Source organism: Homo sapiens, chromosome 11 (assembly GCF_000001405.40).
Source record: "Homo sapiens chromosome 11, GRCh38.p14 Primary Assembly".
Classification (NCBI taxonomy): Eukaryota; Metazoa; Chordata; class Mammalia; order Primates; family Hominidae; genus Homo; species Homo sapiens.
In genome coordinates, this window is record NC_000011.10 from 90182179 (window position 1) to 90199669 (window position 17491).

The 17491-nt window shown below is 34.8% G+C and overlaps 1 protein-coding gene across 6 annotated transcripts in view; it reads left to right on the plus strand.

Moving 5' to 3' along the window:
- NAALAD2 (N-acetylated alpha-linked acidic dipeptidase 2) overlaps positions 1-10716 on the plus strand; it is a 61196-nt gene extending 50480 nt beyond the window's left edge. For 5 of the 6 annotated variants that reach the window (XM_017017043.3, XM_047426168.1, NM_005467.4 and 2 more), the window contains 2 exons: positions 738-830; positions 9380-10716. In XM_017017043.3, coding sequence (XP_016872532.1) covers positions 738-830; positions 9380-9569 — 283 coding nt within the window. In that variant the 3' untranslated portion in view covers positions 9570-10716. Of the gene's footprint in view, positions 1-737; positions 831-9379 lie in introns of those variants that run through there. The other variant, XR_007062427.1, reaches the window with a different exon arrangement.
- Positions 10717-17491: the final 6775 nt, after the last annotated feature.

Genomic DNA, 17491 nt, shown 5'->3' on the forward strand with positions numbered 1-17491 from the left:
TTTTTGCATTTTATTTAATTTCTTGCCACTTTCACATTGAAAATAGTTTCAAAGTACATTCAAAGTAAATACCATGTAACAAGCATAAATTTATCCACAGATGTGTCCATGTCACATTTATTTTTTCAGATGTAATCAGAATAAACTTTGCTACTTCCCATATTGGAAGAAAGCTATTATCAGTAGTTTTAAGGGACCTCATTCTCCTTTGGATTGTAGGGGAGCCCAGGGAACTTACTCAACTCCCCAAAGGGATAGTCTGAGTGTGACAAGGGATTCCCTATCCATTATGTGCAGCTATCTCTTACCCTCCTTACAGGCTTCTGAAACCTTCATTCACTCTTTGTTGTCCAGCCTGTTATCTGCTCCTTTTTTCAGCAGTAGAACCGAATGACTTATCAGGAATAACTTGATAGCTCACTTTGTCTGCCTTTCCAGGAGGCCTGGCTGTCCTCCTAGAAGTATAGAATGTCTTTGAGTCCCTTTTGATTGGTGTGTGATGTAAAAAAATATAACAAACGATTTTCCAATAGGTCTCTCTGCTGACTGTAAATATTAGAAAGATGACTCTGCTGTTTGTGGCTCACCATGTAAAGCATTACTGTGTTAATATTCATTTTGTTAAAAATTGATCAATTTTAGAAATATATTTTCCCAAGCCTTGTTTTTATTTAATATTATTTTTGAAGCATGATTCTGCGGTTTGCGTTATAATTATGTATATGTTCTTCTCGAAGTCCCATTGCAGTGAGAATGATGAATGACCAACTGATGCTCCTGGAAAGAGCATTCATCGATCCTCTTGGTTTACCAGGAAAGCTGTTCTATAGGTAAGGAAACAACAGGCGCCAAATACATCACTGTGACCAAAACCAGCATACCTAAAGTTGGCTTTAAACTAATGCCATTAGATGGGTGAAAGGCAAATATGTACACTCTAGGGAATTTGGGTAAGATTGTACATTTAATAATAGGTATAATACATATTAGAAAAATAAATTTCATATTGTTTATTGCTTTGCTGTGAGGGAAAATGGTAAAGGCTAGTTAAAAAAGAACTCTTTCTAACAAAATCTTCAAACTGTAGAATCTTAAAGGGAATTTTAGAGCTTATCTAGTTCAACCTTCTACATAATCCTTTTTATAGAATCTCAGATAAATAGTTATCCAGTCTCAGAATCTTTTAGTGATGAGAAGCTTACTACTTCATGAGGAGGCTCATTTCACTTTATGAAAGGTCTAATTATTAGAAAGTTTTCTTCATAAAGATTTAACATCTATTTTCCTGTAATATTTTTCTCTTTGAGTTTGTTCTGTTAAAGTCAAATAAAATAAGTTTAGCTCTATTTCCATATAGTATTTTAGGTTTTTGAGATGGTTCTCAACGATGGTTAGATTTCATTTTTCGGCGTTATGATGGTGCAAAGGCAATACACATTAAGTAGAAACCATACTTCAAGTACCCATGCAACCACTCTGGTTTTCATATTCAGTGTAGTATTCAATAAATTACATGAGATATTCAACACTTCATTATAGAATAGGCTTTGCATTAGATAATTTTGCCCAACTGTAGGCTAATGTAAGTGTTCTGAGCACATTTAAGGTAGGCTAGGCCAAGCTATGATTGTTGGTAGGTTAGGTATATTAAATGCATTTTTGACTTGTGATATTTTCAGTTTATGATGGTTTTATCAGAAAACAACTCATCTTTAAGTCACGAAGCCTCTGTATCCTATTTTCCTATCTGTATCTCTACATCATGTTCTCTTTCAGTATCTTGGCTGCATCCCTTTGGATGTTCTCCATTTTCTCAAGGTCCTTCTAAAACTGGTTCTCTGGTGGAAATTAGAAAGGTCCTAGCATTCAAAGCCAGAAAATCTATATTCTAGTTCACTTGCAGATGTGTGACTTAAAGCAAGTAACTTCTAGGGTTTTCCCATCCGAATTAAGATGATGATAATTGCTACTTTAAAGGCTATTTATCATCAAATAATATGCAAAAAAGGTTTATATGTTACCTTTCTTATAAATGTTAATGATTAATATTAACATTTAGATAATTACAAGCATACGCTTTTAGAACCCAGCTCTGCCACATACTTCACGTGACCTGGAAAAATTATTTTTCTAAGCTTCAGATCCCTCAGCTACTAAGTGGAGATTATAATTGCTTTTACTCAATAGGCCTGTAGATTTAAGGCCTGTAGAAGATTTAGCTCAAGAGGGATGCACTCAATAAATGGCAGCTATTTTTATAAATAATAAAAACACAAATGTTTGTTTCTTCATTGATGCAAATGAAATAGCAATGATCAATTATTTATATGGATCAAACAAAAGCCGAAAGCCGTATCTACAGTGTTTGTTAGTCCTCTCAGGTGTTGTTATTAGTCTATCTTTATATATTTATTTTCTATTTATTTATAAGAAATCTATATTTTGTCATTATTTTAAAAACTCAGGCTCTGTAGAAGCATATAAAATAAAAAGGAGCAGTGCTTCTTCAGCATTCCCCCCTTGCCCCCTACACCCAGTTCTTTATTCTCTTCAGTGAAACTCAATGTTGAGTTTGGTGTAAGTTTTAATGCACTTATATACATGTTTATATATGTATATAGTCAGCCCTCTGTATCTGTGAGTTCCACATCTGTTGATTCATCAACTGCAGATAGAATATATTTGAAAAAAAAATGAATGGTTGTGTCTGTACTGATTTACAGACCTTTTTTGGGTCATTATTCCCTAAATACAGTAAACAACTATTTGCATAGCATTTACATTGTATTAGGTGCTGTAAGCAATCTAGAGCTGATTTAAAGTATCTGGGAGGACTTGTATATGTCATATGCAAATAGTAAGCCATTTTATATAAGGGAGTTGAGCATCCTTAAATTCTGGTATCCAAAGGGGATTCTGGAACCAATCCCCCATGGATACTGAGGAATTACTGTATATACTTACATATACATTTATATATACATATATTACATTTATATACTATATATGCAAATATTTCCATAAAAGTGTACACACACAATATATAAACAATTTTTATTTACATAAACATCTATATTTAACATATTATAAATTTACATATGTAATCATTTATATTTACATGTATAAATATGTAAACCCATTTATATTTACATAAATAATGTATGGGACCATACGTTACAATTTTATTTTTTTCCTTAAGAATGTATCTTAGGCTGGGTGAGGTGGCTCACACTTGTAATCCCAGCGCTTTGGGAGGCTGAGAAAGGAGGATCGCTTGAGGCCAGGAGCTCAAGACCAGCCTGGGTAACACAGCGAGACCCTGTTTCTACAAAAAATTTTTTAAAGTAGCTGGTGTAGTGGTGCATGCAATCCTAGCTACTTGGGAGGGTAAGGCAGGGGGATTGCTTGAACACAGGAGCTTGATGTTACAGTGGAGCTATGATCATGCCATTGCACTCCAGCTTCGACAATCTCTAAGATTTTTTTTCATTTTTTTAGATAAAAGATTTGACTCTTGTGAAAATATCTACCTCTTACTGAATTTCAGATTAGGATTTTTCCACAATTATTTACTATTATGAAAAGTAATGGCATTGTATGGATGTCCTTGAGTCCTATTTGAACATTTGTTAATATCTCTATAATCAGGACCTGGGATTTCAGGGTGAAAGGGTAAACACTTTTTTTTTTTTTTTTATATACATTTAAAATTTTATTTGTTTTCACAGAAATGAGCAACTTGTACAGCCATATTTGCCTTTTCTGGCTCATTGGCTTTTGATCACATCTCATGACTTTTTGAGTCCATGATATTTTGCTTACACTGAAGAACTTGTAATCTTTTTTTTTTAAATTTATTTATTATACTTTTAAGTTTTAGGGTACATGTGCACATTGTGCAGGTTAGTTACATATGTATACATGTGCCATGCTGGTGCGCTGCACCCACTAACTCGTCATCTAGCATTAGGTATATCTCCCAATACTATCCCTCCCTCCTCCCCCCACCCCACCACAGTCCCCAGAGTGTGATATTCCCCTTCCTGTGTCCATGTGATCTCATTGTTCAATTCCCACCTATGAGTGAGAATATGCGGTGTTTGGTTTTTTGTTCTTGGCGATAGTTTACTGAGAATGATGATTTCCAATTTCATCCATGTCCCTACAAAAGACATGAACTCATCATTTTTTATGGCTGCATAGTATTCCATGGTGTATATGTGCCACATTTTCTTAATCCAGTCTATCATTGTTGGACATTTGGGTTGGTTCCAAGTCTTTGCTATTGTGAATAATGCCGCAATAAACATGTGTGCATGTGTCTTTATAGCAGCATGATTTATAGTCCTTTGGGTATATACCCAGTAATGGGATGGCTGGGTCAAATGGTATGGGGAAAGGATTCCCTATTTAATAAATGGTGCTGGGAAAACTGGCTAGCCATATGTAGAAAGCTGAAACTGGATCCCTTCCTTACACCTTATACAAAAATCAATTCAAGATGGATTAAAGACTTAAACGTTAGACCTAAAACCATAAAAACCCTAGAAGTAAACCTAGGCATTACCATTCAGGACATAGGCATGGGCAAGGACTTCATGTCCAAAACACCAAAAGCAATGGCAACAAAAGACAAAATTGACAAATGGGATCTAATTAAACTAAAGAGCTTCTGCACAGCAAAAGAAACTACCATCAGAGTGAACAGGCAACCTACAAAATGGGAGAAAATTTTCGCAACCTACTCATCTGACAAAGGGCTAATATCCAGAATCTACAATGAACTCAAACAAATTTACAAGAAAAAAACAACCCCATCAAAAAGTGGGCGAAGGACATGAACAGACACTTCTCAAAAGAAGACATTTATGCAGCCAAAAACACTTGAAAAAATGCTCATCATCACTGGCCATCAGAGAAATGCAAATCAAAACCACAATGAGATACCATCTCACACCAGTTAGAATGGCAATCATTAAAAAGTCAGGAAACAACAGGTGCTGGAGAGGATGTGGAGAAATAGGAACACTTTTACACTGTTGGTGGGACTGTAAACTAGTTCAACCATTGTGGAAGTCAGTGTGGCGATTCCTCAGGGATCTAGAACTAGAAATAGCATTTGACCCAGGGTAAACACATTTTTAAATTTGATTAGGTTACTACCAAACTGTCCTCCAAAGACTACCATATTTTTAAAAATGCACTTTGAACTATTAGCTGAATGTTAAGATTATATTCTAATGCTAATTCATATTATTATGTTTTAGTCTACTGCAGTAGTATGGAAATAAGTTCTTCCTTCATGATCATAAGGATTACTTTATGGATTGATATGACATATTGCATATGCACACTTTTTCCAATAACTGCTAAGATAAATGTAGCTATAATAGCAATTCCAGCTACCCAGAATTTCTCATTTGTCTTAAAGAATTTATTTCAAAATTATTTTTTCCTCATCCAGCAATGTATATCAGGTTAAAAATGATCTTGTAAATCTTATAAAACCTCTAAGAGTAAAAACTTTCAGTACGTATAATGGATCAATGACATTTTTAAGATCTGCTATTTTATGAACCTCAAGAATGGAGAGATTACCAAATCTGTAGTGTAATAAAATTGTTCTACCATGTAGAATTGATAGACTAAGAAAATTAGACTAATCTGATGTATGTATGTATAGCCATTATATATATATGTACATTACATATGTATGTATTGTTAAAACAAAAACATTAGCCAAATTATATTTAACAGACTTTAATTGAGCAAAGAATGATAGACTCAGAGAGACTCCAGTGCAGCCACGTGATGGATGAAGAGTTACAGACAGAAAAAGGAAAGTGACATACAGAAAACGGAAATGAGTAACAGAAACAGCCAGACTGGTTACAGCACAGAATTTACCTTATTTGAACAGTTTGAACTGACCCCTTTAATTGGCCAAAACTTGGTGATCGGCACAAGAGTAGACTCAGTCTGTTGACAACTCCATTTAGGTTATAGTTCACTATGTACAGAGAAACCTTTAGGCTGAACTTAAAATATTTAAGGAGGCAGCTTTAAGTTAAACTTGATTTAACAGTTGAGATTCAGTAATGAATAAATCAGAAAACATTGTACATATTTTAAAATAAAATGTTAATGTGGAACATATAAAACATTCTTCTTAAAATTCAGAAGTATAACTAAATGTTTATTGTGAATAAAAAACGTGTCTTAGTCCATTCCTGCTGCTATATCAAAATACCTGAGACTGGGTAATTTATAAAAAACAGAAATTTATTCCTCACAGTTCTAGGGGCTGGGAAGTACAAGATCAGTGTCAACCAATTCAATGTTTTATGAGCACCTGTCCCATATATGGTATTTTTCTCAGGGCGTCCTCAGTTGGCAGAACAGATGGAAGGGCTAGCTAGCTTTCTTCATTCTCTTTTATAAGGGCTCTAATCCCTTAATACTGTCACACTAGAAATTAAGTTTCAACATACGAATTTGGGGAATGAACACATTCAGACCATAGCAGCATGCTTGATAAATTTTGCAAACTTAATTATTTTTGAGTTGTGGGTAATATATTGTAACTATCACAACAAAGGCAAATAAGTAATAAATCCTTATCTACCACTGAGCTCATTTTCTATATTCTATTACTCCTCGTTTTTTCCCTAATGAAAGTTCCACAAAAATTAATTGCTCTGTGTGGTAAGCATAATAATGGCCTCCCAAAGATCTCTATTTTCTAACCCCAGAACCTTTGAATATGTTAGGTTACATGACAAAGAGGAATTAAGGTGGCAGATGGATGAGTCACACTAATCAGCTGAGTTAAAATAGGGACAGTATTCTGAATTATACTGGTGGTCCCAATGATGCAGTCACAAGGGTCCTTAAAAGTCTTCCTGTAAGAGGCAGGCAGGAGAGAAAGTTAGGGTGATGCCATTGCGAAAAGACTCATCTAAAATGCAGTTGCGGATTTTGATGGTGGAGGAATGTGGTAGGCCTCTAGAAGCTAGAAAAGCAAGGAAAAGGATTCTCCTCTAGTGCCTCCAGGAAGGAATGTGACCCTGATCATACCTTGATTTTAGCTTGGTGAGACTTATGTCAGACCAACTGTAAGATAATAAATTTTTTTAAGCCACTAAGTTGGTGGTAATTTGCACAGCAGCAATATAAAATGAACACACTCTGTAATGGAATCTAAAAAGGATTAAATAAAGCTTCCTTTTTTGCAAACATCAAGTGAAATACTGTAAAAGTCTTTAAAAGCTGCAAAGCATTTAATTATGAAATTCTAGAAACATTTGTGGCCGGGCATGGTGGCTCACGCCTGTAATCCCAGCACTTTGGGAGGTTAAGGCGGGTGGATTACCTGAGGTCAGGAGTTTAAGACCAGCCTGGCCAACATGGTGAAACCCCATCTCTACTAAAAATACAAAAATTAGCCAGGCGTGGTGGTAGGCACCTGTAATTCCAGCTACTCGGGAGGCTGAGGCAGGAGAATTGCTTGAGCCCAGGAGGTGGAGGTTGCAGTGAGCCGAGATCATGCCACTGCACTCCAGCCTGGGCCGACAGAACGAGACTCTATCTCAAAAAAAAAAAAGAAATTTTGCATTATCACAACTCATCAGTGAATACTTACTATGTACTGAGGGGAAGGTTGAGGAAAAAAGACTATGAAGTGTTGACCATATTCTCTAGTCTGCTCAGTAGTTCTTGATGCCTCTTAAAAATTCAGAAATGTCCATTGTGGAGGGTAATTAAATCATCATATACTTGAAACCTTGAGAACTAGACCAGAGTTTGAATTCTTATGGGACTAGAATAGCTATTTGAGTCCACCATTTCATAAAAGGGTATTTGAGTTGCTTAAGCATTACCAATTGTCTGATCATTTCTTTTAGCTTGCTGCCTGCTTCTTATCTGAGAAAATTAGGGAAAGGATTTAGTTTCAGAATAGCTAATATTTACTGAACACCTATTAAATGTCAAGCTATGCTTTTCATCCAACATTTGATTCTCACAATTCTTTTAGAACAGTACTTTTATCACCATCATTTTTAAGATAACAGGCACAGGGAGGTTAAATAACCAGTGCAAGGCCACAAGGCTGATAGTTGATAGTATTCTGTTGATAGTAAATATGCTAGTATTCTGATTTTTAAAAAACAGGCAGTCTCAGTCTACAACCTGCTCAGTCACTACTCTAAGCAGAGTCTACATTATTTCAATTATTTTACAAATCTGGGACAAATTTAGACAACTTAGGCAATTTGCCAAAGGTCACTGAGATATTAAATGCCATATCAATGATTCAAAGGTTATTCGCTTCCTATATCAAATTTTTTTTGCTATATTCTTCCTTTACAATTCTCCAGAAGAGGGTAAGTATACTAAGGAATATCTATGACTTGCATCTCTAATTTCTTGACTCATATACAGGTCAGGATACCAATGCTTATAAACAACTTAGCACATAAACTGATTTTAATTTTAAAAAAATCCATCTGAGGCCATATTAAGATTTAAAAGCCAAGATAATAAATCCTGATGTACTTTGGTAAATCTGAATGATGAGTGTTATAGATTTGTCATTAATCATTAATCATTAATACTGACTTATATGGAGCTCTATATTGCTTCATACAGATTTACTCTAGAATAAGCTTTGGGGTTTGACTGTTGGACCTAATTCCTGATGTATTAATAAAATACATCCCTTTCTGGAAAGCAAAATTCTACGTCATTATTGCGGAAAGTAGCTTGATCCCTTGAGCTACTTATGTTGAAGTAGAAAAGCAACTATAAAACTTTCTTTTTAGATCAAAAGTTGAGTGTCTTTGCGGGCAACCCACATATAACTGTCTTACCTTTGTGGAATGGACGTCATTATCCTTGCCATTTGTAACACTTTGAAATACAGGCTTCTTTAATTACTTGTTTTTTAATGTCTAAAAAGTATTGGGAACAACTGTCATTCTTGTTTAATCTATTTTTAAAAGGCAACACAAAAATAAATTATCTTTCTCAATCTCCTCTTACTAAAAACATCCATAAACTTACATGTTATCACCATATTTGTGGATGCTTACGGGACGCTGAGCAATTATTCTGCACAACTTAAAAGAACCTGCTTTCTTCCATCTGCTTTGGGTTCGCAACATGGTATATGATTCCTGAGATATGTCTTAGCGAATGCATATTGTTAGCTTCTTTCCTGGCTTGAAATTATGATTCGCATAAGTATCTCAGATCAACTGTCTTCTTATTATAGGAACAAAAGTGAGTATCACAAGGAAACATCATGTGGTCTAAACAAAAAGCATGCAAAATGCATGTATACACTTTAGTTCAATTTGCCTTGTTTTCTTCCTTTTAGGCACATCATATTTGCTCCAAGTAGCCACAACAAATATGCTGGAGAATCATTTCCTGGAATCTATGATGCTATCTTTGATATTGAAAATAAAGCCAACTCTCGTTTGGCCTGGAAAGAAGTAAAGAAACATATTTCTATTGCAGCTTTTACAATTCAAGCAGCAGCAGGAACTCTGAAAGAAGTATTATAGAAGGTCTCAAGTGGCTAGCCATTAAAGGTGTTGCTAAAAGTCTGAGGATAAAATTCACCTTTCTGATAACTTATGAAGCCAGGGTGTTCTAAACTCTTTTCATGTCATGTTTTGATTATAGGCTTTGGTCTTTTCATCTGCAAAGCCTTTTTTTTTTGCTCTTTAAAAGTTAATAATTATATTAGCAAAGTGTTAATCTAATGAAGTAAAAAACTCCTGTGTGGCAGAAAGTAAAAGAAAATTCCCTAAATTATAGCAAGGAACATGAATTCTCAGACATTGTGAGTGTGGGAATGTAAAATGGTAAAATCACTTTTGAAAACAGTTTGGCAGTTTCCTATAAAGTTAAACATACACTTTTACTTTAGGACTCCAGAATTCCACTTCTAGTTATTTATTCAAGAGAAGGAAAAACAATGATCACAGCAATACTTGTATGCATGTTCATTGCAACTTAAAAGCGTAAAAACCCCAAATGTCCATCCACAGACGAATGTATAAACTGTGGTATCCATTACACAATAGACTACTTACTACTCAGCAATAAAAATGAAGTAACTTTCAATAAATGCAATATTATTGGCAGACATTGTTGAAGGAAAAAAGCCAGACAAACAACTACATAAAATATGTTTCTATTTAGATGAAGTGGCAAACTAATCTGTAGTGTTAAAAATTAGATTAGTGATTGCCTGGGCCAAGTGGCAGGTTGGGGAGGATGGCTGCAAAGAAGTATGAGGAAACTTTCTCCAATAGATGAGAATTTTCCGTATCTTGATCTGAGTGGCAAATTGTAAACTTAAAATATATATAAAATTTATTGTATGAAAATTAAGCCTCAATAAACGTGATTATAAAAAACAAGTCTGCAAGGAAACCAGAATCATATACCTTCTCTTGTGAAATCACCATGAAGTGTGAATGGTCAGGAAAAAGCCAGTAATATTCATACATTTAATAATTTCAGCTCTACTGAATAAACATATAAGTCTGATGGGTGATGAAAATAGCTACTACAATCTTCATATTCTAACTCCTATAAAGACTGTATATCAGAATCTGCAAACTTTTATGCAGATCCCAGTGACTCAATTACATGTTCAACTATGATTAAAGCTTCAATAAACTTGGTTGTTCATCTACTTCACCAAAACGAGTTAAGAATTAAAAATTAGAAGAGCCTTCATAGGCAAGTACAATAACTAAAATAAGAAATGACAGCTCAAAGCTTAACTACAAGGAAAAACTACCCATTACCCTTGCTCCCAGGCCAACAATACAGTTTAACTTAAAACAGTGGGGGCATTTAGTTTAGGGGCATTTTCTATACATCTCAGTATTACTAGAGGGTATTTCACTGATCCCCCACAATAAAATAAGTTGCAAGTATAGCAATGACTCTGTCATCAAGGTAACTTTTAAATATGTTCCATTCCTTCTGCTTAAAGAGGCAATAAGGTGTGCTATTTATGAAGTATAAATATACACAATTAAGACTTTTGTAAAAGGGAGTTAACTTTACTACCACGCTACACTACCAAAGTATAACACTTTAACTTTTGCCTTGAAGCACTGTGTTGTAGAAAATATACTGCATTAAGACCCATGAATCATACTATCTACTACCCAACTGAGTAGATCACTACGTATCTCTGGGCATCAGTTCCCTCCAACTCTATCATTTCTAAAGGAGACAAAGCACAAAGGTTTAGAAATGTCTTGGGTGTTCTTCCTACTGGTAGTTTTCCTGAAGACAAATGCGAGCTGCCAGAACAGCATATTTGGTCTGAAATATGAGTTTGGAGTAAAATAGTAATTATTGCAATTTAATTTTTCCTTTAATTCTTGTTTTTTTTAATCATTTTTAATCAATATCTGATTGTTAGCAACAGAACAAGTGATTGTGTGGCATGCACTATAATCAATTCAGGATATTTAATATAGAATATGTGTTATCACATGTTAAATAGGGCATATGTTTGAACTTTTTAAAAAAACTTTTCCCCTAAGCATTTGAGATCAGCTGAATTAAGCTGCTAATCATTATTCCCCTTTGATCTCATTCCTTGGTCCAAGTCCTGAGAGAGATACTGTTCCTCTTAAGGATACTTACGAAATAATGACATGGAAATATTTTGCTTGTCACAGTATATTGCCTGTTTTAAGACCTACTTTTAAAATCAAATAAGCCATAAATTCTTATTGTAATGCCATACTTTTAATCATTTAAACTAAATGTTTAATCAGAAGTTGTCTAATATAAAAACTAGTAAAAAAGCACGTGAAATGTATATACTTTAACCAAGAAATTCTAAAAATTGGTTTCTATAGAGAAAACTGGACAGAATGACAATGTATGTGACACAAAGGTGTTTACCACAGCATTTTTTATCACAGTAAAAAATAGTAAAAAAAAAAAATCACAAGCTAAATATCAATGGAGAATTGATTATAGTATAATATAAAAATGATCATACAATGATCATATATACATTTTTCACTTATATAGTAAGTTGTCCATGACTTACTGGTTAAAAAAAGTGATAAAACTAAATATATGAATATCAAACAAAATACAAATAGTGCTTGCATTTCGGTGGTAGACTTTTATGTGACTTGTACTCTGTACTGAATTGCTAAAATTTTTTACATCATATTCCCTTTTATAAGGGTTAAAATAATATAATAACTACTGTTTTCATTTTGAACAGACAAAAGTACAGAGTTCTGGGATACAATACAGTTCACAAATAGTAATCCTATTTTGTACCCTTGAAATTTATTAGTTTATTCTGAGGATACAAATAACATTTATATATGCACACATGAGCCATCTTAATATTTCCATTTAGTTCAGAATTTCAAAAATATCAATCGATCCTTGAACTTTCAAGTATAGAAATGAGTTTAGGGTAAAATAGTAACCTTTGAAATAATTACAGTACTGTATTAGATTTGTCTTTTTCTTTAATTGCTTAACTTCATGAACTCATTTGTTTTTTTCTTTTTAATTTTTATTCATCTACTTTTTCCAATCCCCAATGTGATTAAATTCAGAAGAACAGTATCTTTCAAGTAAATGATGCAAAACTTCCTTTCACATCATCTCACGTCCTTTCCCCCTTTGTATTAGTAGATAATTATACTATCTACAGCCAGAACGATCTTCCTAGACGTGATCATGCTATGTGCTATGAAAAAAACCTTCAATGGGGACCTCCACTACCGAAATGATGTGGTAGTACTGGCAGTCGCTCCCAGGTGCAGTAACTAGGAAAAAATGGATCAAATGCAAAATACATTACAGATACGAAAGAGCTGTGGAAGCGCTTAAGACTAGATGTACTAAAAGTCTTTGTCTTTTCTACATAGCTGAGACTACCAACTGTTTTCTTTCCTGGCATCATTTGCCAATTCTAGGCATGGATTAAAGATCAGGCTTTGTGTGGACTAAAGCACTTTACTGGGGAAAATCAGCAGGACTTTTACTGACTGCATGATCTATCATGATGTACTAGAATCTAGAGGAGCCCTAAACCCAATACTGAGTGAGACTAGAACTTAGGGGCTAGGCAAACAAGTTTTCTTAACAGGCCAATACCACCTCTCAATGCCAGGCTTCTTCATATCCTATTCTTTCTCCCATTTCCTCTCTTGTATTTGGCCACTTCTATCCTTTTTTCCCCCCTCAGGACTCTGCTATTTATCCTTCACGAAATCCATCCATAAAATCTACCAAATACGCACCACAGAAGCTTTCTACAGGCTTATCTTTGGCATAATTTTTATTTAACAACCTCTTATTTTCCTTGTTGTATCCTTTCTTGGAAGTGGAGTCTTTAATTATCTCCAGCACATAGGAAGTGACCTGAGTGCTGAATAAAAAATAAGCAATGGAATCGCTACATTAAAGATGCTTACAAACTTTTATTATCAATAAAATCTATAAATTTTACACCTATCAACTCAGAAAAATTCACTGGGAGGAGAAAAACTATTAAAAAGCCTAACTTCAAATGAACTCAAACTTTCCTGCCAAATCATAAATATGAAAAGTAAATCATCCATGTATGCTAGAGGATCTCTCTGGGAGAAGTGTCCTACAATTTATAACATTTTACAAGTGGTTAAATCCATTAAAACTTCAAAAACTTTTAGATTGTCTTTCTCCTGTAATGTGATATCTTCCCTAACTTGCTAAAACTGAGAACCCAGCTAGCTTTACATAACTGAAATGATTGAATTTGTTTGCCTAATACACTAATATTTGATTTTAATGAATTATCTCACTCCCACAAAGTGTCTTATGTTAGCTGCCTTCATACGTGGCCTTTTAATCATCCACATCTAAGAATACTGAGATGCAAAAATTGCTCAGAGTCCAGATGATAATAAGGCTAAGTTTATTTCTAGGCACAAGCATTTAGAACAAACTGCCTGCAAGGGACAAATTTACCGCCATGGGCCTTTTACTTTCACTTGGTCTTACAGCTGCAGAATCCATCCCTAATTTTTGTCAACTGCCCATTGGCCTTTTAGAGGTTCTTAGTAAGAAAATCAATGGCTGAACTAACTACTGCGAAAACTGAAAGCACATTATCTTCTCATGGTAATTAAGTCATTTAATTAATATTAGGAAATAAAGGAATAAGCACTAATAAATGGCCATTTAGATTCTGGGTTTTGCGTGGTGACTTAGATGTCTTCAGTTTCATGGTTAAGAGTGTAAGGACTTTGGAATCAGTTTCTAATTTTAAAATTAAATTTCATCATTTGCTATCTATGTGACCCTGGAGGCAAGTTATGCCCCTTTCCTTTGCCTACATTTCTCCATCTGTAAAATACAGGTTATACTGTAAATAATCATGGTGATGTTCTGAAGAGAAAAGCTATCATAAGCACTTAGCAAAGTGTTTGGCACATTCTAATTATGCAACAAAAGCTATCATCATGTCCACAGCTTCAAGTTACCTCTTGTAACTAACACTTCCTAAATTCCTATGGCTAAATTACAAATTTCTACTCAAGTGAATTAAGTCCTGTGATTAGACACCTACTTTCCCTGAAGGTTTTAAAATTATCTTCAGATTCTGGCTTTCATTTGTCTTCCCAATGGCTTTCTGTTCCCTTAAATTTGTCCTCCATCTCTGCCCCCAATTACTCAGCTCTTTCCTACAGAGGATTTTAAGTAGCTTTACTGGGGGTATGGTAGAAAGAGAAAGGGGACTTGAAGGAATCTTTAAGGCATCAAAAATAGTCTAAGTTGGCCTCAAATATGAACTGAGTAGTCTGGGCTCAATCTGTTACTGGAATTCAGCTTTCTTTAGTAGGAAGCCTTTGAAGGTTTTACATAAAATTATAATGATCCCATTTATTACTATCAGCCTAAAGAACCATTTAAAATTTGTGAATTTTCTTGACACAATTTCCACATTTTTCTGTACCTTAAGAATGTATCATGCCTAGTTTTATCAATCATGTTTTATCACTGATACTAACAGAATCAAGGGTCTGTGGTACATTTATTTTGCTTTTGCCCATCCAGCCTTCCTTGCCCATTCTGGAAAAAGAATGTTTTCAATAAGGGGACCCATTACAGATGGTTTGGGTGGCACACTGAGTATTTAGCAGGTGAGCCTAAATACTCCTTTATTGGATTTACTTATTCCCATGCTTGTGTACTGCTACTTACATCACAATCAAAAGCAGGGATTACCAGTTTTTTGAATTAAAACAAGATGCCCTCAAAGTTCAGAGTGCTATGAATGTTGCAACCTCAAAGTTAGCTAGTGAATTTACATTACTGCCTATTACGACTCTAAATCCTGAGAGCCAGAAAAGGCCTATGAGCCTCAGATCTTACAAATAGCCTGGAGTACTTCTTGAGGATTTGTAAACATTCCTTGGACTCAGCAGTCCCTTGAGAAAATCATTTCCTCCAAAATCTGTGTCTATATTCTCTATCTTGTTTAAGCTCTCCCTCCATTCCCAAACCTAGGAATCATCCTAAATTTTCATCTAGACCCTAATTCAAGATCCTCAGTCTCTCTTCTCTTCCTACTGCTTCTGCTGTATTTCATGCCCTCATCCTAACTGGTCTGTCTCTACACCAACTCTAATTGTTCCCTTCTATCAAAGCTAAACTTGATGCTGTTTTACTGGATGTTTTATCTAACACAGAGGTAAGAATTATTATTTACGAGCTACATATCACTATCAAAATGGCAATGAAAACTTTTGTGCTTTTTGCAGTAAGGATTCTGAAACTTCAATTTGGAGGCTGTTAAGAAAAACTAGAGACCCTAAGAGTCATCAAATCACAAGTGATGAATTGGCTATTATATCCAAAACCATCCAGGCAAAATTACTACATAATTTTATAACTTTACTAACACAACAAAAAAATTGTTCCTGGTTACCAAACACATTAAGAGTTTTCCATGCTATATGCCCATGTTATATCAGAAGCAGCACAGAATAGTGGTTAAGAGCATGGAACAACACAGAGGCAGGCTGCATGAGTTTGAAATCTTTATACCACAACTCATTAGTCTGAACTCTGGATAAGCTACTTAACCAATGTCATAAAGTCAGTTTCCTCATCTGTAATATAAGAATAAAAAAACCCACCTCACAGCATGGTAAAGAAGATTAACAAGTTAATCATAAAAATAAAATCTGAATAAATATGAAACTGCAAAATGAAATAAGCAAAATGAAGAAAAGGATCAGGGTGTTTAAAAATATTAATACATCCATCTAACCTCTTTACTGAACGAGGGGAAAGTGCCTCAAGTTCAGGGAGGTTTCCCTTTTCCAGACTCAATCACTGATTTTACTTTTATTAGCAAAGTTTTTAAAAAATAATTTAAACATTTAAGCAGCATCTCTGCCTAATGAAAAAGGAATGGCAAATTGAATTATTTTGACACATAATCTTTAAGAAACATAAAAATGTTTAAGGCTGGAAGTTATATTTCTTTTCAATGGACATTAAAGGTGACCCACTAAACGGAAAAACTAAGAAAAGTCATTGAGTTTTTAGTGAAAACATGGTCTTCAGAAAAACTGTTCTTAAAGATAATCTTCACAATGAAGAATTCTGTTAAAAAGTTAAAGAACATGCAGAAGAAAACCTCTGCAAGCCTGGTATTTTAGAGATAGTGCCATATGTATAAAGCCATAGGCATATACGTAACTGAAGAAGGCAAGCCATCCAACACCACCAGATTAAGTTGTTAAGATACCTGGGCAGTAGGGAAGCAGTCAGGGATAATTAACAACAACAACAAAAAACCTATCAAACAATCAAAACAAATGAAACAGAAAACCCTATTAACAAAACCTAAAAACAAGCTGGGCTTAATAGCTTGCATTTCAAAACTGAGGCCATGGAATTATACTGGTGAAAACAAAGTAAATAACAAATATGAATGCCAAGTCAAAATAATTTGCCATAAAAGATGAACAACAAAAAAAAACCCTGTTAATGTTCAAATAGATAATTTAAAAGTACCTGACTGCTAAAAACAAAATTTACAGAGTACATACCCATATATCCTAAAAGGGACACCAGCCCTCATAAATGAGCTTTTAAGAGTTTACTTGGCCGGGCGCGGTGGCTCACGCCTGTAATCCCAGCACTTTGGGAGGCCGAGGCGGGCGGATCACGAGGTCAGGAGATCGAGACCATCCCGGCTAAAACGGTGAAACCCCGTCTCTACTAAAAAAAAAAAATACAAAAAATTAGCCGGGCGTAGTGGCGGGCGCCTGTAGTCCCAGCTACTTGGGAAGCTGAGGCAGGAGAATGGCGTGAACCCGGGAGGCGGAGCTTGCAGTGAGCCGAGATCCCGCCACTGCACTCCAGCCTGGGCGACAGAGCGAGACTCCGTCTCAAAAAAAAAAAAATAAATAAATAAAAA